The 26,680-nt window shown below is 41.8% G+C and overlaps 1 protein-coding gene across 13 annotated transcripts in view, besides 3 other annotated features; it reads left to right on the top strand.

Moving 5' to 3' along the window:
- ABL2 (ABL proto-oncogene 2, non-receptor tyrosine kinase) overlaps window positions 1-26,680 on the top strand; it is a 130,348-nt gene that overhangs the window by 76,893 nt on the left and 26,775 nt on the right. For 5 of the 13 annotated variants that reach the window (XR_921765.2, NM_001168238.2, NM_001168236.2 and 2 more), the window contains exons 2-3: window positions 21,304-21,474; window positions 26,113-26,408. Coding sequence is in view for 10 of the 13 variants with exons in the window: in NM_001168238.2 (NP_001161710.1) it covers window positions 21,304-21,474; window positions 26,113-26,408 (467 nt within the window). In the remaining 3 variants the exon portion in view is untranslated. Of the gene's footprint in view, window positions 1-9,708; window positions 9,853-19,410; window positions 19,474-21,303; window positions 21,475-26,112; window positions 26,409-26,680 lie in introns of those variants that run through there. The other 8 variants (XR_007058798.1, XR_921764.4, NM_001168237.2 and 5 more) reach the window with 3 other exon arrangements.
- Window positions 8,943-10,142: an enhancer, noted in NCBI's record as "MED14-independent group 3 enhancer chr1:179111778-179112977 (GRCh37/hg19 assembly coordinates)". NCBI's record gives its function as "activates an origin of replication core promoter dependent on BRD2, BRD4, P300/CBP and CDK7 cofactors, and independent of MED14, by STARR-seq in HCT116 cells {active_cell/tissue: HCT116}" and the evidence as "EXISTENCE:reporter gene assay evidence [ECO:0000049][PMID:35650434]".
- Window positions 13,461-13,967: an enhancer, noted in NCBI's record as "H3K27ac-H3K4me1 hESC enhancer chr1:179107953-179108459 (GRCh37/hg19 assembly coordinates)". NCBI's record gives its function as "activates a minimal SCP1, AML or CMV promoter by ChIP-STARR-seq in naive H9 embryonic stem cells {active_cell/tissue: H9 hESC(naive)}" and the evidence as "EXISTENCE:reporter gene assay evidence [ECO:0000049][PMID:30033119]".
- Window positions 22,817-22,866: an enhancer, noted in NCBI's record as "active region_2149". NCBI's record gives its function as "activates an Ori minimal core promoter by ATAC-STARR-seq in GM12878 lymphoblastoid cells {active_cell/tissue: GM12878}" and the evidence as "EXISTENCE:reporter gene assay evidence [ECO:0000049][PMID:35858748]".

Raw genomic sequence — 26,680 nt, 5'->3', positions numbered from 1 at the left:
CAGACTTTTAGTTATTCTCTGCAACTTCAGGTGGTCTATGAGAAGTCTTATAGATCAGTATTCTTTAAGTAGCACATTGTGCTGCTACTACTCACAAACCTAGAATGATTCCTTGTTGCTTACTGTGATAAGTCTGAATTCTTTTGTCTGAATGTCAAGAACATGTCATTTGGCCCACATATATTTCACCTTATTTTATTTACTTACACACAAACACAAACGCACACATGCACATGCACACACACAGTCATCTCTCTAATCAGGCCAAATTCATCATGCAAAAAACTCAGTGAGCTGGATTAAGGAAAGTACCACCTGAGCTCCTCTTCAGGGAGTTGGTTTCTGAAGGTTCACAGGAAATGTAACAAGATGAAGAAATGGTTTACTAAAAATACTCTCAGAGAAGGTATTTTATGTAGCTTTGGGAAATATTTTCATAAGCAGTTTGGGCTAGTGTGTGAGACCACCAAAGGACATGCCAAACTGACACTTGAGGTCAGTAATTCTGATTAACTGCAGGGCTTTTAGCTGAATCAAGACTCCAAGTTAGGGACAAAGGTGAATTCTTCAGGACCAGAGCAGAGGTATAATGTAAACTTCAGGCTTCTCCCTGAGTAAATGTTGAACACACATTTGGTACTGGTTTGAAGAAGTGTTAATTATTAGCCTACCCAGGTTTCCACATCTTGATCTGGCCTTGAATTTGGACTACCTTTCCCCGCCATGTCTTTGTTTATATTGTTTTTTTCTGCTTAGAAAAATGTGCTCTTCCTTTATCTGTAATAGAAGACTTTGAATCCAGTAGGTTGATACCTATGGTTACATAATCAGAAAAGGCTCCTACTCTACCAGGAGCAAATGCATCCTGTTTGAACCTTTAAGTATATGGTTTAGATAGGTATAGAGCATGCATTTTCAACAGGGGTGATAACAACTTAGATAGTTACAATGGTTTGTGATCCTCCAAAGCTCAATGCTACGGTAAAGAATTTTATCATTTCAGCATTTAATTTCTCTTGTTAGGGAGAAATTGAATTAAATTAAATCAATGAATTATAGTTACTTAAATTTAATTTTATTCCATAGAGTAATGGTTATGAAAAAAAAGTTGAGAAATACTGATGTAGAAAAAGAGAAAAATGCTGTTACAGCTTTTACTTTTTGTGGCAAGAAGTCTCATACGTACTGGATTTTTAAAATGAGTTAATCCTTTTTTTGTCAATTATTAGCAAAGCACTCTGCTGACTTCATTGGAAGCATTGATTCTGTACCTACAGAAACTTGAGAAAAAAAGACATAAAAACAGGATGTATAAATTATATTAAATATAGTATAGAGGATGTCCCATATTAGTATAACAATTGCTATTTTAGGCAATGGGTGCTTTGAGCTTAGGCAAAGGAAGAGATTACTTAATCTGAAATGACCAGAGGTCAGGTTCAAGGAGAATCTAGGAACTTAAACTATACCTTGAAAGAAATATAGGATTTGAATACACAGAGGGGGAGGATAAGCATAGTTCTGATTAAAACGCCATCTTGATTTTTTGTGAATGTGAGTGTATGAGAGGTAGGGAACTATCCTCTTTAACTATAGTCATACCTTGGAGATATTGCAAGTTTGGTTTCATGCCACTGCAATGAAGTGAGTATCACCATAAAATGAGTCAAACAATTTTTTTTTTGTTTCCCAGTGCATATAAAAGTCGTGTTCATGCTATACTGTGGTCTACTAAGTGTGTAATTAGCATTATGTCTATTAAAAAAGGACATGCCTTAATTAAAAAATACTTCATTGCTAAAAAATGCTGATGATCATCTGAGACTTCAGCAAATCATTTTTTTGGTGGAAGGCCTGGCCCCAACATTGATGGCTGCTGAGATCAGGGTGGTGGTTGCTGGAAGTTGGGAAGTTGGGAAGTTGGGGTGGCTGTGGCAATTTCTTAAAATAAGACAACAATGAAGTTTACCAAATCCGTTGACACTTTCTTTCATGAAAGATTTCTCTGTAGAATGCAGTGCTTTTTGACAGCATTTTACCTACAGTAGAACTTCTTTGAAAATTAGAGTCAATCCTCTCAAATCCTGCTGCTGCAAACTAAGTTTATGTAATAGTCCAAATTCTTTGTCATAATTAAACAGTATTCCCAGCATCTTTACCAGGAATAGATTCCATCTCATGAGACCACTTTCTTTGCCCACTCATAAGAAGCCACTCCTCATCCGTTCAGGTTTTGTCATGAGATTGCAACAATTCAGTCACATCTTCAGACTCCACTTGTAATTCTAGTTCTCTTGCTGTTTCCACCACATCTGCAATTACTTTCTCCCCTGGAGTCTTGAACTCCTCAAAGTTATGCATGAAGATTGGAATCAACTTATTCCAAACTCTTGTTAGTGTTGCTATTTTGACCTCTTCCCATGAATGATGAATGCTCTTAATGGCATCTAGAATGGTAGATCCTTTCTAAAAGGTTGTCAATTGATTTTAACAGATCCATCAGAGAACTGACTGTGGCAGCTATTACTGTATAAAATGTTTTGTTTCATTTTTGAGACGGGGTCTTGCTTTGCTGCCCAGGCTGGAGTACAGTGTACCATGGCTCACTGCAGTTTTGACCTCCTGGGCTCAAGTGATCCACCTCAGCCTCCCTAATAGTTGGGACTACAGGTGTGCGCCACCATGCCTGGATAATTAGAAAAAAAAAATTTTTTTTTTAGAGATGGGGTCTCACTATGTTGCCCAAGCTGGTCTTGAACTCCTGGCCTAAAGCAGCCCTCCCACCCTGGCCTCCCAAAGTACTGGGATTGCAGGCATGAGACACCATGCCCGGCCCAAAATGTTTTTCCTAAGTAATGAGACTTGAAATTACTCATTGATTTATGGGCTGCAGAATGGATGTTGTGTTCACAGGCATGAAAACAACATATCATTAAATGTACCAAGTGACCAAGTGCATTATCAATGAGCAGTAATATTTGGAAAGGAATCTTTTTTATTCTGAGCTGTAGGTCTCAACAGTGGGCTTAAAATATTCACTAAACCATGCTGTACATAGATGTGCTCTTATTCAGGCTTTGTTGTTCCATTTATAGAGCATAAGTGGAATAGATTTAGTGTAACTCTTAAAGGTCCTAGGATTTTCAAAATGGCAAATGAGCGTTGGCTTCAATTTAAAGTCAACAGCAACATTCACCCCTAACCAGAGAATCAACCTGTCCTTTGAAGCTAGACATTCTCCTCTCTAGCTATGAAAGTCCTAGATGTCATCTTATTCCAATTGAAGGGTGTTTCATCTACACTGAAAATCTGTTGTTTAGTGTGGCCACATTCATCGGTGATCTTAGCTAGATTTTCTTACTTGCTGCAGCTTCTAAATCAGCACTTGCTGCTTCACCTTGTACTTTTATGTTAAGGACATGGCTTCTTTTCCTTAAATCTCATGAACCAACCTCTGCTACCTTCAAACTTTTCTTCTGCAGCTTCCTTACCTCTCTCTGCCTTCACAGAATTGAAGAGAGTTGGGGCCTTGCTCTGGATTAGGCTTTGGTTTAAGGGAATGTTATGGCTGGTTTGCAGACCACTCAAATTTTCTCCATATCAGCAGTAAGGCTGTTGTTTCACTTTCCTATCATGTTTGTGTTTACTAGAGTAGCACTTTTAATTTTCTTCAGGAACTTTTACTTTGCATTCACAACTTGGCTAACTTGTACGAGAGACGTAGTTTTTTAGCCTATCTCAACTTTTGACATTCTTGCCCACTGAACTTATTTCTACTTTTTGGTTTAAAGTTAGAGACATGCAACTCTTCCTTTCACTTGAACACTTAGAGGCCATTATAAATTGGTCTAATTTCTTTTTTTTTTTTTCCTTTTTTTTTTTTTCAAGACGGAGTCTTGCTCTGTTGCCTAGGCTGGAGTGCAGTGGCATGATCTCGGCGTACTGCAACCTCTGCCTCCCAGGTTCAAGCAATTCTACTGCCTCAGCCTCCTGAGTAGCTGGGATTACAGGTATGCACCACCACACCCAGCTAATTTTTGTATTTTTAGTAGAAACGGGGTTTCACCATGTTGGCGAGGCTGGTCTCGAACTCCTGACCATGTGATCTGTCCACCTCGGCCTCACAAAGTGCTGAGATTACAGGCGTGAGCCACTGTGCCCAGTTTTGGCCTAATTTCAGTATTGTTGTGTCTCAAGGAATAGGCTTGAGGAGAGGGAGTGAGACAGGGAAACAGCTGATCAGTGGAGTGGTCATGATTAATTTTGCTGTCTCCTATGGCGCAGTTTGTGGCGCCCCAAAACAATGACAGTAGTGACATCAAAGATCACTGATCACAGATCACCATAATAGATATGATAACAATTAAAAAGTTTGAAATATTGTGAGAATTACCACAAGGTGACACAGAAACATGAAGTGAGCACTTGATGGAAAAATGGTGCTAGCCAGGTGCGGTGGTTCACACCCGTAATACCAACATTTTGGGAGGCTGAAGTGGGCAGATCGCTTTGAGCTCAGGAGTTTGAGAGCAGCCTGGGCAACATGGTGAAACCACTTCTCTACAAAAAAATACAAAAATTAGCCGGGGGTGATGGCACACACGTGTGGTCCCAGCTACTCAGGAGGCTAAGGCTGGAGGATTGCTTGAACCTGAGAGGTGGAGGTTGCAGTGAGCTGAGATCATGCCACTGCACTCCAGCCTGGGCAATAGAGTGAGACTTTGTCTCAAAAAAAAAAAAAAAAAGAAAAGAAAAGTGGTGCTGATAGACTTGCTCAATGTAGGGTTGCCACAAACCTTCAATTTGTGAAAAACACAGCGTCTGCAAAGCACAGTAAAGCAAAGAATAATAAAACAACATGTACTTATACTATTATTGACTAACCTAAAGAGAGTTAATCTTGCAAAAGCTGAGGTCTCTCTATTGCTTTTTTAAAAAAAGTTTATAGATTTGGAGGGTACAAGTGCAGTTCTTCCATGGATATATTGCCTAGTGGTGAAGTCTGGGCTTCCAGTGTAACCATCACCTGAATAGCATACATGACATGGGACCCAATAGGTAGTATTCCACCTTTTGGAGTCTCCAGAATATATTATTCCATTCGGTATGTCCATGTGTACCATTGTTTAGCTCCCGCTTACAATGAGAACATAGGGTTTTTGGCTTTCTGTTTTTAAGTCATTTCACTTAGGATAACGACCTCCAGTTCCAACCATGTTGCTGCAAAATACATGATTTTATTCTTCTTTATGGCTAAGTAGTATTCCATGGTATATCTATACCACATTTTAAAAACTCCAGTCATCCATTGATGGACACTTAGGTTGATTCCATGATTTTGCTATTGTGAATAGTGCTACAATAAATATATGGAGTGCAAGTGTCTTTTTGATAGAATGATTTCTTTTCCTTTGGGTAGATACCCAGTAGTGGGATTGCTGGATTGAAGTATAGTTCTACTTGTAGTTCTTTGAGAAATTTCTATACTGTTTTTCGTAGAGGTTGTGCTAACTTACATTTCCACCAACAGTGAATAAGTGTTCCCTTTTCTCTGCATCCTTGCCAACATCAGTTGGTTTTTTTTTTTTTTTTTTTTTTTTTTTGCATTTCTCTGATGATTAGTGATTGGACCATTTATTCATATGTTTGTTAGCCACCTATGTGTCATCTTTGGAAAATGTCTGTTCATGTTCTTAGCCTACTTTTTAAATTTTTTTTTTTTAAAGACAGGGTCTGGCTCTGTCATGTGGGCTGGAGTGCAGTGCTGTGATCTTGGCTCACTACAGCCTCAACCTCCCAGGCTCAGGCCATCTCTGGGCTGATAAGAGTCTATAGTTGTCACCAGTAAAGGAGAATTTGTATCCTGTCTTTAGGTAGAAAAGCAAGAGGATATGGAGAGCTTTTCCCCTATTCATTGCTTTAGGCTCAAAAATAATTTTTATGTCAGAGACATATTTTGGGGTGATATATCTTTTTCCTTTCCTTTTTCCTCATGGCAGAAGGCAAAGGAGAAACAGGCACCTTCCTCACAGGGTGGCAGGATGGAGTGAGTACAAGGAGAGGAAATGCCAGACGCTTATAAAATCATCAGATCTTGTGAGACTCACCATCACGAGAACAGCATGGGGGAAAATGCCTCCATGATCCGATTATCTCCGCCTGATCCTGCCCTTGACACGTAGGGATTTATGGGGATTACAATTCAAGATGAGATTTTGGGTAGGGACACAGCCAAACCATATCACTTGGGACTCAACCTCAAGATATCTCATTATATATATGCACATATTCTAAAATCTGAAAAAATTTTAAACCTGAAACACTTCAGGTCTCAAGTGTTTTGGATAAGGTATACTCAACCTGTGCTACTGCTGCTTCTCAGTGAATTACATGGCCATCTACCCAGTTACAGTTAAGCCTAAAACCTGGCAGCCGTTCTTTATTTTCTCCTTCTCTCTTATGTTGTATCCAAGTAATCTGCAAGCCCTGTTGATTCCCTCTTCAAACCATATCGTTAAGTTCTTCCACTTTTCTTTGTCTCCACTGCCACCATCCTATTCTAAGCCAACATGATCCCATTGCTGAACTACTGCATAGTTTTCTGCTTCTAATTTGGTTCTCAATGTAATTCATTTTTTTTCATGTAATAATGGTCTTTTAAAAAATGGAAATCAGCAGCCTGGCCAACATGGCAAAACCCCATCTCTACTAAAAATACAAAAATTAGCCAGGCATGGTGGTGCACACCTTGTAATCCCAGCTACCCAGGAGGCTGAGGCAGGAGAATCGCTTGAACCTGGGAGGTGGAGGTTGTAGTGAGCCAAGATCACGCCACTGCACCCCAGCCTGGGAGACAGAGCAAGACCCTGTCTCAAAAAAAAAAAAAAAATGGAGATCAGACCATATGGCCATCCTGCTTAAAACTGTTCACTGGATTTCCATTGCACTTGGAATAGAATCCTAAATCCCTAAGCACTTGATTTGGCCAGCCCCTGTCTACCTTACTTTGTTTCATGCTCATCTTTTGACTTCCGTAACAGTAGCCACACTTCTTATTTCCTGTACATACCAGGTTCTTTTCCTACCTCAGAGTTTTTGCATTGAACTTGCTACATTGTCTACTCAGAATGCCCCCGCTCCTCCTCATCTTTGCTTAGATTCTTCTTTTGCTTCTGGCCTTAGTTTGTCACGTTCATTAAAGTAATGCACTTTTCCACCTCAGCCTATTAAAGAGATTTGCAAAAACTGAAAATGCTACTCTTATCTTCTTAATTCTTTTTTGAAAATAGTTTTCTTTTTGGTAAAAATATGTTATTAACATAATGGGTTTATTGTTATTTTAGAATTAATAGGTATTCAAATTTCTCATTAAAATTTCAGGTTTAATTTCAAATATAGTAAATACTGATAGCTATAACATAAACAAAAGGCCTTTGGAGACCTTAGTAATTTTAATTTTTAATTATGACAAAGTATCAGAATTTACTATTTTAACTATTCGTAGATGTACAGTTTAGTAGGATTAAATATATTCATAATGTTGTATAGCCATCCATTTGCAGAACTAGACTTCCAGAACTAGAAAAATTCTAAATATTTCATGTAAGTAGAATTATATAATATTTGCCTTGATGTGTCTGGCTTATTTCACTTAGCATCATATTTTCAAGGCCCATCTACATTGTAGCATATATCAACATTTCATTCTTTTTATGGCTAAATAATACTTCATTATATGTATAGACCACCTTTTGTTTATCCATTTATCTCCTCTTTATTCCAAATTATGCTATAAGTAATTGAAAATGTAACTACTAATTATTGGTAATTTAAATAGAAGATTTATTGATTAAATAGTAAACCATATGGTATAGAGTCTACATATGGATAGAATGTGGATGATGAAGATCCTTTCCCATACCTTTTTTTCTATAATCCGGAGAATGAGATATTCAATCTGGTATTTGAAATTCTTAGTCATAATTGTGGTAACCTTTAGTCATCTAACTCTTTTATTTGTCCCTTGATGTTGAAAGTACTGGCTTTATAAAGGATAATTTTATTGAAAACATAAGCTTTGTTATTTTAAATAGTTAATAATTACCTACATTAAAGTTATTCTTTCTCTAATAAGGTTAAGTTACCATTTTATTTTTCAATTTTCTCTAAGGCTGTTTCAGTCCTGTCATCCTATTATCTTACCCTGTTACTTATATTGACCTAGAACAGGGGCTGGTACATAGTAGGTGCTTAATAAATATTTATTGAGTGAATGAGTGTTCTCAGATACACAGTTAAACAAACACTCTTTTTTTTGTTTTTTTTGAGATGGAGTCTCGCTCTGTCGCCCAGGCTGGAGTGCAGTGGCGCGATCTTGGCTCACTGCAAGCTGCACCTCCTGGGTTCATGCCTTTCTCCTGCCTCAGCCTCCCGAGTAGCTGGGACTACAGGCGCCCGCCACCATGCCGGGCTAATTTTTTGTATTTTTTGTAGAGGTGGGGTTTCACTGTGTTAGCCAGGAGGATGGTCTCGATCTCCTGACCTTGTGATACACCCACCTCTGCCTCCCAAAGTGCTGGGATTACAGGCGTGAGCCACCGCCCCTGGCCTACAAACGCTCTTTAATATTATTTTTGTAGATCATACATTAAAGTCATGTATTATTTGTAGGTTTTACTAGTTTAATTCTCATAAAGTACTATCATTTTCAGGTTTTTAAATTTTCTTTAACTTTGTTCCTGTTTATTAACAAAGATTGGGCTTTTTGCTTTAAAAACTTTTAACACTCAGGCTGGGCATGGTGGCTCATGCCTGTAATCCTAGCACTTTGGGAGGCTGAGGCAGGTGGATCACGAGGTCAGGAGTTTGAGACCAGCCTGGCCAACATAGTGAAACCCCGTCTCTTCTAAAAATACAAAAAATTAGCTGGGCGTGGTGGCGGGCGCCTGTAATCGCAGTCACCTGGGAGGCTGAGGCAGGATAATCACTTGAACCCGTGAGGTAGAGGTTGCAGTGAGCCGAGATCGCGCCACTGCCTTCCAGCCTGGGCGACAGAGCGAGACTCCGTCTCAAAAAATAAATAAGTAAATAAAAATAAATAAGTAAATAAACTTTTAACACTCAAAAGTTTTCAACACTATATTGCCATGTTTTTAACCTTTATTAAGCTATAGAGCCAGATTGTTAGCAAAGGCAGTTATTTCTTGGCTTCTGTGCTCATGAATCAGATCACAGCTATTTCTTTGACTTTGGCTTTGTGGTTTCTTGAACTATTTAAGTGATGTAAAAGATGAGTCTTGTTAGGCGTTTCCTTTCTTTTAAAAGTGTATTTCGTGTTTTATTGTAAACAGATTTTCTCCAAGGAAACTTTTCTCTCTAGTCTCACCTCATCATCTCCCTATAAAATAGAGATATATTAACTTCTACATTGTTTTATTATTAGGCTATTTGTTATACATATATATGTTGGTTTTTATTTTACTTACATTTTAAAAGTGTTCTCAGAGATTTTGAAGTAACTCCATTCTGACTCAGTCTTTTGCGGATTGCTGGAAATTTTCCTTTAGGTCACTCTCCACCCACTTTGGGAATTGTGAATGCTCACCATTTTATTGGTTCCCTCTGGCCACTGAGTACATGAGTAAATGTCACATGCATGTGGTATTGCTTGTCAGAGAATGGAATTCTAAGACTTCCTCTTTACACAGAACAGTTTAACTTTTGTGCTTCTGGGCAGAGGTATGGTCCTTGGGACAGTTCTCCTTCCACCTAATAGTTATGGCAGAGATCAGGACACTTCACTTTGCTGCCTGTGCACTGAGGCCTCAGAATCTGCTCTACCCGACTTAACAGGTATGGTTCAGAGTTGATAGTTTCAGGGAGGCTTGATAACCACATTAATCAAGTGTGAATGAAGATTTCAAAAAATTCATCTTATCTGCTACTGTTTTTGTCTTCATTCTTGGTCAGTGAAAGTTTGTGTGCTTTCTTGGGGGAATATCTCATAGTAGGATCTCAATAAATACTGAATGGAAGAATGTATGGATAATATGTAGTATTTTGTAATAATAAGATATAGATGGCTTGATGTGAAGAACTTAAGCTATATTGAAAACTGTTGAATAATTTACCTTACATAATTTTTAAAAGAAGTTATTAAAACTTATTAGCTTCTTAGAGAATATACAGTCAGATAAAGTAGAATTCTGGCAAGATAATGTTTATAAAATACTTGAAAATGCCTAAACTAAAAATTTGTAATATTAATTTCTCCTATTACTACCTGACAAATTTCTAATTAAACTGATAAAAGTTACTGAATGACTAACTGGTGAAAAGTATTTTTAATAAAATTAAACATGAAGCTTAGGAATTTTCTCAATTTCAGTTTTATTATTTTGGGTTTTAACTTTTTCAATCATGATAATTTACTTTGTACAAGTGGCTATTCTGTTTTGCTTTATTTTTGTTGTAGCCTGCAACTGTAGCAATAGAAAAAAAATGCCTTTTTTAAATTGTGATAATATATTTCTGTTATCTAGGTTCTTTACATGTGAGTGAAAATCAGTCTTCTCTTATCCCATCTTAAATCTCTGATCTACCTCTATAGCAGTGAATAATGGAAGATAAGTTAACTTGATATCTAAGTTACCTAATTTATAGTAGTCATTTCATTTTGTTCAAAAATAAACCATTCCCAGCCCACACACTTGCATTTGGGCGTATACAGTACATCTGAATCATCCAGACATGTCTGTCTTAACCAATGAGGAAAGTGACATAGACTATAGCTACTGGGTAACACTGACATTTACTTGCTCTTCCCACAGGCTTTTGTTTTCTTTTGTTTTTGCCTTTATCCCTTATCTTGTTCCCCCTCATTTAGTTCCCTTACTCTTTATGATTCAAAATATGTTCGTTCTTAGCTTCAGAAAAATGTTAGGGTGTTTTTCTCTTTGAAAAAGTTTTCCTTTTGTTTGGTGCTAATGGGTAGAATGGTGTTTAAGTGGATATCCTGTGCAGACAGATTGTGCAGGAAATTGACCCTAAGTTCTTTGAGAACAAAAGAGGAGTGGGAAGAAAGAAGAAAGGAAGGAAATAAGATCTTTTGACTCAACCAAAAAGACCGTAAAACCAGAGACGGGAAGAAGGGGAATGGGGAATAAGAAGGATTGTTTTCTAAGTTGTGGTTCTTTTAGTACTTTGGCCTCAAAAATTACTTTTATCCTATAGTTATTACTTTACATATTTCAGAAATATAATATTGTTTGGCCTGCATATATCTTCTAAATTTACATAAAATCGTGCTGTAGATCTCATTCTGTTTTCTCCTTTTGTCAGATAACACAACTTTCAGGAAGTTGACTTGTCTTTAAGAGTCCTCTTTTGGGTTCAGAGTTTCCCCTTATTATAAACATGTCCTTGCGTATTGACAGTCTGTCACTCTACTGTCATCAGTGCAGAATTCCTATTAATCTAATTTTTTTTTTTCTTAAAGACAGGGTTTTGTTCTATTGTCTAGATTGGAGTACAATGGTGTGATCTTGGCTCACTGCAGGCTCAACCTCCCAGGCTCAGACAATCCTACCTCAGCTTCCTGGGTAGCTGGGACTACAGTTGTGTGCCACTATGCCCAGCCAATACTTAATTTTTTTTTTTTTTTTTTTTTTGAGACAGAGTCTTGCTTTGTCACCCAAGTTGGAGTGCAGCAGTCTGATCTCAGTTCACTGCAACCTCTGCCTCCCGGGTTCAAGCAATTCTCCTGCCTCAGCCTCCCGAGTAGTTGGGATTACAGGCACCCGCCACCACACCCAGTCAGGGTTTTGCCATGTTGGCCAGACTGGTCTCGAACTCCTGACCTCAGGTGATCCACCTCGGCCTCCCAAAGTGCTGGGATTACAGACGCTAGCCACCACACCTGATGAAGTCTCATGATGTTGCCCAGGCTGGTCTTGAACTCCTGGCCTCAAGTGATCCTCCCGCCTTGGCTTCTCAAAGTGCTGAGATTATAGGCATGAGCTACTGTGCCTGGCCTGCGTTCATCCAGTTTAAATGTTTATCTAATTTTAAGTCTGAAACCTTGCCAGACTCTAGAGTTTTGTTTTATATTCTTTCCTCTCATAGCATCCTCTGTGAGTAAGGATGTATACATAGTTCATTCATTCAGCAAATCTTTTTTGAGAGCCTCTTATATGTAGACACTGTTCTGGAGTCACTGTTCAGTGAACAAAACAGACAACAATCCTGGTCCTCATAAAACTTACATTTTAGCAAGGAGACTTAGATACATGAATATAATAATAAATAAGTAAATTATACACTATGTTTGGTGGTAATAAGAGCTATGGAGATAAAATAAATCAGGAAAGGAGTCAGTGGGGGATGTGAGAGTGTTATCAAGAATAGATGTACTTTAAAATGGAATAATCAGAGAATGACATACTGAGAAGGTAACATTTGGTGAAATGTCATGGGGAAGAGTGTTTTAGGCAAAAGGAAAAGCCAGCGCAAAGGTCCTGAGGCAGAAGTGTGCCTGCTTTGTTCAAGCAATAGCATTGATGTCAGTGGCCAGAATAAGGTAGAGGAATAGCAGCAGGAGATGCTGGGCAAGACCAATTGTGAAGGACCTTGCAGGGCCTTTAAGGATTTTAGCTTTTACTCTAAAATGGGGAACCTTTGAAGAGTCTTGAACAGAGGAGTAGCAATCTGACTTATGCTCTGAAAGATGGCTGGTATGTTGAGAATAAACAGTAGGGAACAAGCACGGAAGCATGGAAATCAGGAGTCTAGTGAAATAGTCTACATCAGTGGTCCCAACCTTTTTGGCACCAGGGACCAGTTTCATGGAAGTCAATTTTTTCACAGACTGGGTGGGGAGCGGTGGTTTCACATGAAACTGTTCCACCTCAGATCATCAGGCATTAGATTATCATAAGGAGCATTCAACCTAGATCCCTTGCTTGAGCAGTTCACAGTAGGTTTCAGCTCCTGTGAGAATCAAATGCCTCCACTAATCTGACGGGAGGTGGAGCTCAAGCGGTAATGCTCGCTGGCCCGCTGCTCACCTGCTGCTGTGTGGCCCAGTTCCTAACAGGCCACAGACCTGTCTGTGGCCCAGGGGTTGGGGTCCCCTTACCTAGATGATGGTGGTCATGAAGTGGTACTGAATGAGAAGTGGTTAGATTCTGGATATATTTTTGAAGGCAGTGCCAATGGAATTTCTGAGTGAATTGGATGTTGTTTGTGAGAGCAAGAAGGGAGCTGTGTCCGGAATTGGTGGGTTCTTGGTCTCACTGACTTCAAGAATGAAGCCGCAGACCCTCGCGGTGAGTGCTACAGCTCTTAAGGTGGCGTGTCTGGAGTTTGTTCCTTCTGATGTTCAGATGTGTTCGGAGTTTCTTCCTTCTGGTGAGTTCGTGGTCTCGCTGGCTCAGGAGTGAAGCTGCAGACCTTTGCAGTGAGTGTTACAGCTCTTAAGGTAGCGCGTTTGGAGTTGTTCGTTCCTCCCGGTGGGCTCGTGGTCTTGCTGGCTTCAGGAGTGAAGCTGCAGATCTTTGCGGTGAGTGTTACGGCTCATAAAAGCAGTGTGGACCCAAAGAGTGAGCAGTAGCAAGATTTATTGCAAAGAGCGAAAGAACAAAGCTTCCACAGTGTGGAAGGGGACCCGAGTGGGTTGCCACTGCTGGGTGGGTGGCCTGCCCCGCGGGAAGGCAGCTAAGGCCCAGCGAGAAATTGAGCGCAGCACCGGTGGGCTGGCACTGCTGGGGGACCCAGTAGATCCTCCACAGCCGCTGGCCCAGGTGCTAAGTCCCTCATTGCCCGGGGCTGACAGGGCTGGCTGGCTGCTCCGAGTGTGAGTGCGGGGCCCGCCAAGCCCACGCCCACCCGGAACTCCAGCTGGCCCGCAAGCGCGGCAGGCAGCCCCGGTTCCTGCTGGCGCCTCTCCCTCCACACCTCCCTGCAAGCTTGAGGGAGTGGGCTCCGGCCTTGGCCAGCCCAGAAAGGGGCTCCCACAGTGCAGCGGTGCGCTGAAGGGCTCCTCAAGTGCCACCAAAGTGGGAGCCCAGGCAGAGGAGGCACCGAGAGCGAGCGAGGGCTGTGAGGACTGCCAGCACACTGTCACCTCTCAGAGCCATGAAGGATTCCATGGTTTTTGGCCTCAACATTTGAAAAGATGGAATTGCCATTAACTGAAATGGGGAATTCAGTGAGAGAAACAAATTTGGAGGGAAGGATGGATGATAGTTTTGCATATTGAGTCCCAATGGTGTTATTAGTGATTTCTCATCTTTATATTCTGAAGCCCAGCACAGTGCCTTGCATGTGGTATTCACTCAAATTACTAGGGATTTCTTTTTCCCCAATAAACATTTAAAATAATTAAACAGGCTGGGCGCGGTGGCTCGTGCTTGTAATCGCAGTACTTTGGGAGGCCAAGGCAGGTGGATCGCTTGAGCTCAGGAGTTTGAGACCAGCCTGGACAACACGGCAAGACCTTGTCTCAATAATAATAATTAAACAATATCTGACAGCCACTGGAAAACTCTCCTAAACTGGCAGCATTTTGGAGCTTGAAAAGATCCCTGGGTCATTCTCTGGAGCTGTAATCAAAGTAACTGAGTTATCAGCATGATTAATATCCAGGCAGGGGGCAGGTTTCATAGTGAGGTTTAATGCTGTGTGCTTAAAACACCCCAGCTGTTTTCAGAAATACAAGAAATCTTAAGTTGCACTGTAGATTCCCTGAGCGTCCATCCTGAGAGCTTGGGCTGTTGCAGATGCAGCAGGCGCTGACATGGGAGGAGCTGGCACCACCTGACAGCAGAGGGGTTCATGGAGGCATCAGTTTAATCAATCATCCTTCTTAAACTTGCTGTGGATGTAAGGCACCCGGTCCAGAATTGGCCTCCAGTCAGTGGCCCACAGCAGCTCCACAGTGCCCGTGGCGCCCCTTATGTCCACTGTGGAAATCCAGTTCTTGGCCAGCTCCTGATTGTGTGAGCCCAGGAAGCTGCTCAATATTGCATCACTGTCCTCACCCTCAGGGTGATCAAATTACTGTTTTGTAAACTTTAAAATTTAATATACTGAGTTTCACAAAGTAAGGTATAACTATATGACATTTGCTGGTTTTGTCCTGATAGGGGTTAAGAGTTGGCTTCTGCTTATTACTATTTCTAACTTGGTTGTTGATAGTACCAAAGTTCTTTTTACTGTTGAGTTTTTCTCTTATAATTTCAAACAAGGGGAACTTTTCCTGTACTACGAATAATTAAATAAACTGATAATCATTAAACAGAGTATTTATAAACATTGTAATGTGTTACCAGTGTCACTGGCAAAAATATATATATATATTTATAAGTGTGGATTATGTAGTGTTCAGTAATGGGTGCTAATAAATATGGATATTTTCTGTACTTTTTTTGGCATTTTTTTCATTTTAATAAAGGATTGGCATTTTGTAGCCAGTGGAAATTCTGCTAGAGTAGATAATTTTTGCATTAGAATAAAGACAAATACGATATATGAAACCGGTTTGAAGAATGTTTTTTACAATATGGATTTTTGTTGATTTGGTCATCCCAAATTGGCTATCTTGGTATAGAATACAGCTGTTCCCATTCACCATAATTCTGCATTTAAATAAGGAACAACATAACTACTTTAACTTTCCATGATATCAGAACTTTTTTTAAGTTTATCATAATGTAAAACAAAATTGAATTAACTGGAATTTTAAATATATATTCTTTTTGAGAGAAGGGAATATGAAACTCTGAAACTGGAGAATTACAGAGCCAACCTACAACAGGAATTTCTGTGTGTATATCATGTAGAAGTTATGAAGCCTTTTTTTTTTTTTTTTGAGACAGGGTCTCACTCTGTTGTCACCCAGGCTGGAGCACAGCGGCGATCTTGGCTCACTGCAACCTCCACCTCCCAGACTCAAGCAATTCTCGTGCCTCAGCCTCCGAAGTAGCTGGGATTATAGGCATGTGCCACCATGCCTGGCTAATTTTTGTATTTTTATTTTTATTTTTATTTATTTATTTATTTATTTATTTATTTATTTTTTATTGATCATTCTTGGGTGTTTCTCGCAGAGGGGGATTTGGCAGGGTCACAGGACAATAGTGGAGGGAAGGTCAGCAGATAAACAAGTGAACAAAGGTCTCTGGTTTTCCTAGGCAGAGGACCCTGCGGCCTTCCGCAGTGTTTGTGTCCCTGGGTACTTGAGATTAGGGAGTGGTGATGACTCTTAAGGAGCATGCTGCCTTCAAGCATCTGTTTAACAAAGCACATCTTGCACCGCCCTTAATCCATTCAACCCTGAGTGGATGCAGCACATGTTTCAGGGAGCACAGGGTTGGGGGTAAGGTCACCGATCAACAGGATCCCAAGGCAGAAGAATTTTTCTTAGTACAGAACAAAATGAAAAGTCTCCCATGTCTACCTCTTTCTACACAGACACGGCAACCATCCGATTTCTCAATCTTTTCCCCACCTTTCCCCCCTTTCTATTCCACAAAACCGCCATTGTCATCATGGCCCATTCTCAATGAGCTGTTGGGTACACCTCCCAGACGGGGTGGTGGCCGGGCAGAGGGGCTCCTCACTTCCCAGTAGGGGCAGCCGGGCAGAGGCGCCCCTCACCTCCCGGACGGGGTGGCTGGCCGGACGGGGGGCTGACCCCCCCCACCTCCCTCCTGGACGGGGCGGCTGGCCGGGCAGAGGGGCTCCTCACTTCCCAGTAGGGGCGGCCGGGCAGAGGTGCCCGTCACCTCCTGGACGGGGCGGCTGGCCGGATGGGGGGCTGACCCCCCCCACCTCCCTCCTGGACGGGGCGGCTGGCCGGGCAGAGGGGCTCCTCACTTCCCAGTAGGGGCGGCCGGGCAGAGGCGCCCCCTCACCTCCTGGACGGGGCGGCTGGCCAGGCTGGGGGCTGACCCCCCCACCTCCCTCCCTCCCGGACGGGGCGGCTGGCCGGGCGGGGGGCTGACCCCCCCACCTCCCTCCCGGACGGGGCAGCTGGCCGGGCAGAGGGGCTCCTCACTTCCCAGTAGGGGCGGCCGGGCAGAGGCACCCCTCACCTCCCGGATGGGGCGGCTGGCCAGGCGGGGGGCTGACCCCCTCACCTCCCTCCCGGATGGGGCGGCTGGCCGGGTGGGGGGCTGACCCCCCCACCTCCCTCCCGGACGAGGTGGCTGCCAGGAGGAGACGCTCCTCACTTCCCAGACGGGGTGGCTGCTGGGCGGAGGGGCTCCTCACTTCTCAGACGGGGCGGCTGCCGGGCGGAGGGGCTCCTCACTTCTCAGACGGGGCGGTTGCCAGGCGGAGGGTCTCCTCACTTCTCAGACGGGGCGGCCGGGCAGAGACGCTTCTCACATCCCGGACGGGGTGGCAGGGCAGAGGTGCTCCCCACATCTCAGACAATGGGCGGCCGGGCAGAGACGCTCCTCACTTCCCAGATGTGATGGCGGCCGGGAAGAGGCGCTCCTCACTTCCTAGATGGGATGGCGGCCCGGGCAGAGATGCTCCTCACTTTCCAGACTGGGCAGCCAGGCAGAGGGGCTCCTCACATCCCAGACGATGGGCGGCCAGGCGGAGATGCTCCTCACTTCCCAGACGGGGTGGCGGCCGGGCAGAGGCTGCAATCTCGGCACTTTGGGAGGCCAAGGCAGGCTGCTGGGAGGTGGAGGTTGTAGTGAGCCGAGATCACGCCACTGCACTCCAGCCTGGGCACCATTGAGCACTGAGTGAACGAGACTCCGTCTGCAATCCCGGCACCTCGGGAGGCCGAGGCTGGCGGATCACTCGCGGTTAGGAGCTGGAGACCAGCGCGGCCAACACAGCGAAACCCCGTCTCCACCAAAAAAATACGAAAACCAGTCAGGCGTGGCGGTGCGCGCCTGCACTCGCAGGCACTCAGCAAGCTGAGGCAGGAGAATCAGGCAGGGAGGTTGCAGTGAGCCGAGATGGCAGCAGTACCGTCCAGCTTCAGCTCGGCATCAGAGGGAGACCGTGGAAAGAGGGAGAGGGCGACCGTGGAGAGGGAGAGGGAGAGGGAGAGGCTGAGGCTGCAATTTTCACCTATGCTGGTTTATGACCTAGTTAGAGAAGACATCATAGGGCATTATTTAGGTAATAAAATACAGAGAGAAAAGAGCCACTGGCATTTCTAAATAACGTTCCTGTGTTTCCTACTGTAAGTATAGGAAAGTAGGTGTTCGCAGATGCAGAGAAAGGGCATCTCCAAGGCCTCGGAGGAAACTTTTGATTTTATAAATAACTTGATGGTGGAAGGCAAACGCCATCCCGGTTCCCAAGCAGGCTCCACGCAGCCTCCACGCAGCCTCCATGGCCGAGTCCATCTCCTCGCCCAATTTTTGTATTTTTAATAGAGATGGGGTTTTTCACTATGTTGATCAGGCTGGTCTCAAACTTCTGACCTCAGGTGATCCACCTGCCCAGTCTCCCAAAGTGCTGGGATTACAGGCCTGAGCCACCGTGCCTGGCTGAAGCCAATTTTTAAATACTGTTTAATGTGATTTTAAAATTAAGATACATGTTGTTTCCTGTCACTTATATGTTTGTGTAATTTGGGCATTTGTTTAGCTAACAGTTATTAAACACATACTATGTAACTTTTGGTAGGAGAAGAATACCATTCCAGATACAAGGAACATGTTATGATGTTTGGGGAACAAACATACGTAGAATGTATTATTAATATAGAGATAAAGATAGAGTATTAATGCAGCAACTGTGATGCTTTTGAGAGTACAGATGGGAGGTGCAGTAGCCCCCATTATCCAGTTTTGCTTTATACAGTTTCAGTTACTGGCACTCCACCCCAGTCAGAAAGTATTAAGATATTTTGAGGGAAAAAGAGAGATACCACATTCACATAAATTTTATTACAATATATTGTTATAATTGTTCATTGTATTATTGTTAATCTCTTTCTGAGCCTAATTTATAAATTAAATTGTATCATGGTTATGTATGTGTAGGAAAAACGTAGTATATAGTGGATTTGGTACTATCCTGATTGATTTTAAGCATCCACTGGGGGTCTTGGAACATATTCCTCATGGATAAGGGGGACTACTATATATTGGAGCTGAGTATTACAAGTAGAAATCAGCCAGTCAAAAGAAAAGTGGGGTGAGAACCCATTCCAGTTAGTCTGGACTGTGTGAACCAAGGCCAGAAGATGGGAAGCAGCATGGTGTATATTAAAGTTTACAATTTGAGGTATGGAGTAGGGAGAGGCGAAGCTGGAGAAGTAGGTAGAGACCTGATCATGAAAGGCCTTTGAATGCCATGAAAAGGAGACTTTAGCTTGATGTTAAACTATTGAAGAAGCTTAAGAAAAGTGACGTGGTCAATTTTTTTCTTAAATAGATCACTTTGCCAGCTGTGTGGAGGATGGATTTGAGGGAGACAAGACTGGAGGCAGTAGTCCAGGTGAGAGATGTTGAGATGTTGCAGATTTGAACTAAGGCATTGGCAGTAGAGATGGAGAACAGGGAATGGATTTGAAAATAAATGGAACCACAAATTCAAGGGTTTTTCCTTTCATATATGATAAAACTATTTTTATATTAAAAATAAGTTGGCCTGGCTGGGTGTGGTGGCTCACGTTTGTAATCCCAGCACTTTGGGAGGCCAAGGCGGGCAGATCACAAGGTCAGGAGTTCAAGACCAGCCTGGCCAACATGGTGAAACTTCGTCTCTACTGAAAATACAAAATTTAGCTGGGCTTGGTGGCGTGCACCTGTAATCCCACCTACTCGGGAGGCTGAGGCAGTAGAATTGCTTGAACCTAGGACGTGAAGGTTGCAGTGAGCAGAGATTGTGCCACTGCACTCCAGCCTGGGCAACAAAACAAGACTCCATCTCGGTGGTGGGAGAGGGGTGCGGACGGGGAATAAGTCAGCCGGGTGTGGTGGCTCACGCCTGTAATCCCAGCACTTTGGGAGGCTGAGGCGGGTGGATCACCTGAGGTCAGGAGTTCAAGACCAACCTGGCCAACATGGTAAAATCCTGTCTCTACTAAAAATACAGAAAAATTAGCTGGGTATGGTGGCAGGCGCCTGTAATCCCAGCTACTTGGGAGGCTGAGGCAGGAGAATCACGCTTGAACTCGGGAGGCAGAGGTTTCAGTAAGCCGAGATCACGCCATTGCACTCCAGCCTGGGCAACAAGAGCGAAACTCCATCTCAAAATAATAATGATAATAATAATAATAATCATAATAATCATAAGTGGAGGAAGAGAGACATAAAAGTGTTGTTATATGACATAGACATTTGGATAGTTTGCCTTTGTAGACAGGCACTAAAAATAGTCTGATCAAGAAAATTGATACTGGAAAAACTGTTTTTTGTATAATCGATCTGGGCTGTGAGAAGCAGGTGATCTTTAAGATGGTATAGGGATCACCTGTGCTATGTACTATGAATAAATTTAGAAACTGTAAAGGCTTAAGGAAAAAACAGGTCGTAAAAGGCTTGGACCACTTTGAGTAGAAACTCAATAAATGCCCGATGATAGTAATGTTTTCTAGGCTCTTCAATTAAGTTATTGATATTTACAAAAAATCACTGCTCAGGAAAACAAAATAGAGTTTAAAAGTCATTCAGGCCGGGTGCGGCCACATTTCTTTTGTTTTTTTAAAACGAAAAAAAGATTATTTTTTGCCATGTTGGCCAAAAAAAGATATTTTTCTAAAAGCACTTTTTAAATAATTTTTTCTATACTTAAATAGAGGGCCTGGATTTATACAGTATTACCTAATTCTGAAAAATAATCCCTGTTGTCTTTTCTACAGTTTGTTTTCTGTGGAGAGAGAAAGGAATAAGGGTAGTTTGAGTGGACTTGTAAGAAACTTACAATCATTTCTTCCTTAAAACTACAACCACTACTACAACAAAATATCCTCTATGTTTTATAAAGCTAGTAACCATTTCTCTTTGAGATTCTTTTTTCCATTTTGAGAAAACTGCGTTTCCTATTAGTTTATGTCTGATTTTGGTGAGTGCATATAAATCACGGCTAAACTCTCATTTTGTGGTCTTTTCTCTGACTACCTTGTTTTACATTTTCAACAAGTAAATTGCTTCCTCATGCTTAGGAGACACAGTGCCTATTTGCTAATTCTTCATAACACTTTATACTGTACAGTTCTTTCCTACTCTGGAGCCAGCAGCTGAAATACTGTGTATATAATGAATTCAAACAAATGTTTCGCTGTTGAACTCACCGTGAATTCCCTTCCCTTCTTATGTCTTTCAGAAGCTTTGCATCGTCCCTATGGTTGTGATGTTGAACCCCAGGCACTAAATGAGGCTATCAGGTGGAGCTCCAAGGAGAACTTGCTCGGAGCCACTGAGAGTGACCCTAATCTCTTCGTTGCACTTTATGATTTTGTAGCAAGTGGTGATAACACACTCAGCATCACTAAAGGTGAGGCTTCTATGTAGCATCCTTTCACTTTTCAGTTTTCATTAATGATTAAGAGATAAAGGGGCCTGGCCAGGCACAGTGGCTCACACCTATAATCTCAGCACTTTGGGAGGCCAAGGCGGGCAGGTCACCTGAGGTCAGGAGTTTGAGACCAACCTGGCCAACATGGTGAAACCCTGTCTCTAATAAAAATATGAAAAAAATTAGTCAGGCGTGGTAGCCCATGCCTGTAGTCCCAGCTACTCAGGAGGCTGAGGCATGAGAATCACTTGAACTCGGGAGGCAGAGGTTGCAGTGAGCTGAGATCACACCACTGCACTCCAGCCTGGGTGACAGAGTGAGACTCCATCTCAAAAAAGAAAAAAAAAAAAAAATTATCCTGAAATACATTTTTTTCCCCGGCAGTGGCTTTCATATGTTCAAAAGGTAAGAATAAGCTTAGGCAGACTAGCAATCCAGTTCATGTACACAAGGATAATCTCCCCATAATCCTATTTCTTTCTCATAAAAGTTACTTTTTTTTGCCTTTGCATGCGTGTGTGCGTACACACACACACACACACACACACACACACACACACACAAAATCAATAATGATTGATTTTATTTGGTCATGTTCTTAATGTTCCCTTTTATAAGAATTTCCCACGGAAATAAACTACCACTCTCTTGAGAATATTACTATAATGGAAATCAAATAAACCTTTCCTACCATTCCTTTCACTAATCTATATAAACACAAACAATAGACATTTATGTTGTCTAGGCCAGTGCTACTCAAAAATGGTCCACAACAAGGTAAGATGCTTATGCCAGAATGTGAAACACTGAACTACTATCTTCATGCAGAAAGCCTTGCTCCAAAAGGTAAAACTATTAGCTGAACTAAGTAATAAATAGTGTGCTTAGTGATATAGTTGGTTTACATTTAGTTGAAGTTCTTAATCTCACTGTGGACTAGTAATGAATGAACAGTCCTCAGATAGGCAGTCAAGTTCGCAGACATTCTGAGTAGCAGTGAGGTCTGGCAACATGGCTCATCTTAGCCACAGTTCAATTAGAATAGGTGTGACCAGGCACAGTGGCTCACGCCTGTAATCTAGCACTTTGGGAAGCCGAGGCTGGTGGATTGTCTGAGCTCAGGAGTTTGAGACCAGCCTGGGCAACACGGTGAAACCCCATCTCTACTAAAATACAAAAGACATTAGCCGTGTGTAGCGGCATGTGCCTGTAGTCCTAGCTACTCAGGAGGCTGAGGCAGGATAATTGCTTGAACTTGGGACGGGGAGGTTGCATTGAGCTGAGATGGTGCCACTGCACCCCAGCCTGGGCGACAGAGTGAGATGCCGTCTCTTAAAAAAACAAAAACAAAAGAATAGGTGTATAGTGAGTCTAACCTTCATGGTAGTTGCATGTGCTGGCCAATTGTACATAGGACAGAATTAAAAGTGAAAGTAAAAGTGCATCATCTCCTAGTGTCAGTTTTACTTCCTGCTTTTGGATAGTTTTGGGGACAGGATGATACATGTTATGTATGTGGGGGTTGTGTTTATGCAGTTGTAGGAACATTTTACGTAAAATTTGAGGATAGAACAAAAGACATCAAAGAATTTTTTTTTTTTTTTTTTTGAGACAGAGTCTCGCTCTGTCACCCAGGCTGGAGTGCAGTGGCACAGTCTCGGCTCACTGCAAGCTGTGCCTCCTGGGTTCAAGCGATTCTGCTGCCTCAGCCTCCTGAGTAGCTGGGATTACAGGCACGCACCACCACGCCGTGTTAATTTTTGTATTTTTAGTAGAGACAGGGTTTCACCCATGTTGGTCAGGATGGCCTCGAACTCCTGACCTGTGATCCACCTGCTTCAGCCTCCCAAAGTGCTGGGGTTACAGGCGTGAGCCACCACGCCCAGCCAGAAAGTTTATATTGTGTAGTAGTCTCTTTGGACTACAATATACTTGATTTTACCTTTATTGATTCTTCACTGGAGAAATTTGTGAAGTGATGACTCAGAAATTCTTTCATAGGTATGTTTTCCTGTTGTTTTTTCAAGATAGCCCAGTCATCAAGGAAACATTGATAAAGAAAGACTGTTGATTCCTCACTTATGGGTTATGACTGGCCTTTATCTTATGACCAACAGTGGTTTCTCTTAAAATCCACAGAATGCCAAATTTTTATATCAGGTTCTCACTAATTTAAAATGATGTCATACTAAAGCTATTTTATTATTTTAAAAGACAAGAAAATATATTTAAAAAATAAAGCAACACTTTAGTTTTTGATTGAAAATGATATTTTGCTTGAATTTTTTTTTTTTAAAGTTCTACCAGCCAAGCGCAGTGGCTCATCCCTGTATTCTCAGCACTTTGGGAGGTTGAGGCAGGAGGATTGCGTGAGCCTAGGAGTTCAAAACCAGCCTAGGCAATGTAGTGAGACCCCTGTCTCTACAAAAAATTTAAAAATTAGCCAGGGGCAGTGGCATGCACCTGTAGACCCAGGTACTTGGGGGGCTGAGGTCTGAGGATCACTTGAGCCTGAGAAGTTGAGGTTACAGTGAGCTGTGTTTGCACCGCTGCACTGCCGCGTGGCGACAGAGGGAGACCTGTTTCAAAACAAACAAAAAAGTTCTCCCTAGGGTTGCTCTGCCAGTTTGGCCAATATTTGAATCCATACTAGTCATCCCCCTATCAGTTTCCATGGTAGTCAAAACTTCCAGGGTAGAAAAATTTTCCTGATAACTGACAAAAAAAGAACAACAAACAAAAAATCCTGGGGTCTTTGACTGTATCTTAATTATGATAGCCTGTTATTACCAATTCTTTTCAAGGAAGCAACAATATTAAAAAATGTATATATAGATATATATACAAAGTACTAATATTCTTTATTTTTAGCTCATGTGGACTAACAGAGAAAAGCTACAGAGCAACAGGTTTTCTTCAGTTTTTCTAGCAGGATTCTTTTTTTTTTCTTCCTGTAAATATGATTGGCAAGTATTTGTGCACTTATGCATATCCACCGCTACACCAGACTTACTCTTATCTGTATATATGTATATTTTATGTACCCATAGGTGTATATATGTACATATACTCTTGTGTTTTTTCTCATTATCTCATATCCATGTGTCTAAGGTGAGATGGTGTCTGATACAAAGTTATTCTATGGAAACGTTTCTGAAGGCCACTAAAAAAGGACAGATGGTTACAAGGATAATTATTTTTAGTTCTCCTAAAAACTTTTGCCTGATACTTCTGGCCATGTGCTTTTTTTTTTTTTTTTAGCAGTCTCACTCTGTCTCCCAGGCTGGAGTACAGTGGTGCAATCTCGGCTCACTGCAACCTCAGCCTCCCGGGTTCAAGCAATTCTCCTGCCTCAGCCTCCCGAGTAGCTGGGATTACAGGCATGCAGACTATCACACCCGGCTAATTTTTTGTATTTTTGGTAGAGATGAGGTTTCACCATGTTGGCCAGGCTGGTTTTGAACTCCTGACCTTAGGTGATCCGCCCCTCTCAGCCTCCCAAAGTGCTGGGATTACAGGCATGAGACACCACGCTCAGCCATGGCCATGTGCTTTTGATTGACTTGGCTTCCTTCTACTTTTTGACACTGAAGAAGTAGATGTGAATGCTGTAGGAAGACTTGCATCTCTTAGAGATAAGAGCCTGAGGCACTACAAGGATTCTTTAGATTAGCATTTATTTATCACTAGTGATATCTCTTTCACTTTTTCTGTTTTGTCAAAGAAACCTAATTTGTGCTGCAAGTATCGGGGCAAGTTATATGTTGAAGTCTGAACTTGATGTTCACAATTTTAATAGAAAAATTAAGAACATTGAAGTTGACAGCAAAGATACACTGAGTGACTTGGGTTTTGGTTTCCAACTTCAGAGTGAGCTTGCCATTCCACACACTGATTTTAATGTGGAATGGAAAGGAGTGATTCATTCTTTGTGGGAACTAGGAAGGAAATAAGAAAGCTATAGCTATTTTTAAACTTGCATTCTGGAAGGGATTGTGTTTTGGGAGTCCTAACTGCCCATTCCCCTCACCCCACTAAACAGTTTTCTTGCTGAAAACTCTGTGGTCCGTGTTTTTTTTTGTTTGTTCATTTTTTGTTTTTGTTTTTGTTTTTTTACATCAGTGGTTTTGTTGCCTTGGTGCCAAGTGAAATTTAGAAGTCACTTTGTATCTCACATGTCTTATCCCTAATCCTTGATTGTTGTTAACATTGAATCATATATAAGATACATTCCTTGATAAACTTTTGAGGGAAAGTGAATTTTCTTCTTTTGAAGAGTGAGCACTGTGTCCTTTTCCAGCCATTTTAGTAACCTGTCTGGCATACATAGAATTTCTTAAGGATATTTTTTAAGTTGTATATAGACTTTTAAAACCCTGTAGTAAATGCCAGAAAACCATTTGTGACCATACTTCTGTGGTTAAGCTAAAAGCTAAAGAGAGCAATCAGGATATGATGAACAGCCAAGTTTGTTTTCATTATTTAAAAAAAAAATTTGGCATAAAAGTTCTAGATTCTTTTTTTTTTTTAATGAGTTTAAAGTTTGACAGTACACTGCTTCAGTTGAAATAAAGTCTTAACATCGTTTCTTTCATCCTGTGATGACCTTATGGCTAGGTGAAAAGCTACGAGTCCTTGGTTACAACCAGAATGGTGAGTGGAGTGAAGTTCGCTCTAAGAATGGGCAGGGCTGGGTGCCAAGCAACTACATCACCCCAGTGAACAGCCTGGAAAAACACTCCTGGTACCATGGACCTGTGTCACGCAGTGCAGCTGAGTATCTGCTCAGCAGTCTAATCAATGGCAGCTTCCTGGTGCGAGAAAGTGAGAGTAGCCCTGGGCAGCTGTCCATCTCGCTCAGGTACGAGGGACGTGTGTATCACTACAGGATCAATACCACTGCAGATGGCAAGGTAAGACTCCCTGGTCACCACCTTTAAGCATGGACTGGCTACTCTGTGAAATAATATTCAACGTGATTGAAGTGAAATAATAGATTTTATGTCTGACGTGAAATAAAATATTCACTAGCTTTGTGAGTTTGGGCTTTTTGGCATGTTAGAGCTTGTACTCTTGAAAAGGATATGGTAATAGAAATTTTTAAAAACAGTATTATATTAATATTTTAAAGATAAGCTAGATTTGAAGGTGAAGAATGAAGGGAACTGCTCTATAAGTTAGCTGT

This window comes from Homo sapiens, chromosome 1, assembly GCF_000001405.40.
Source record: "Homo sapiens chromosome 1, GRCh38.p14 Primary Assembly".
Lineage (NCBI taxonomy): Eukaryota > Metazoa > Chordata > Mammalia > Primates > Hominidae > Homo > Homo sapiens.
The sequence above is the reverse complement of the archived record's forward strand: the minus strand, read 5'-3'. Positions and strand labels throughout refer to the sequence as shown.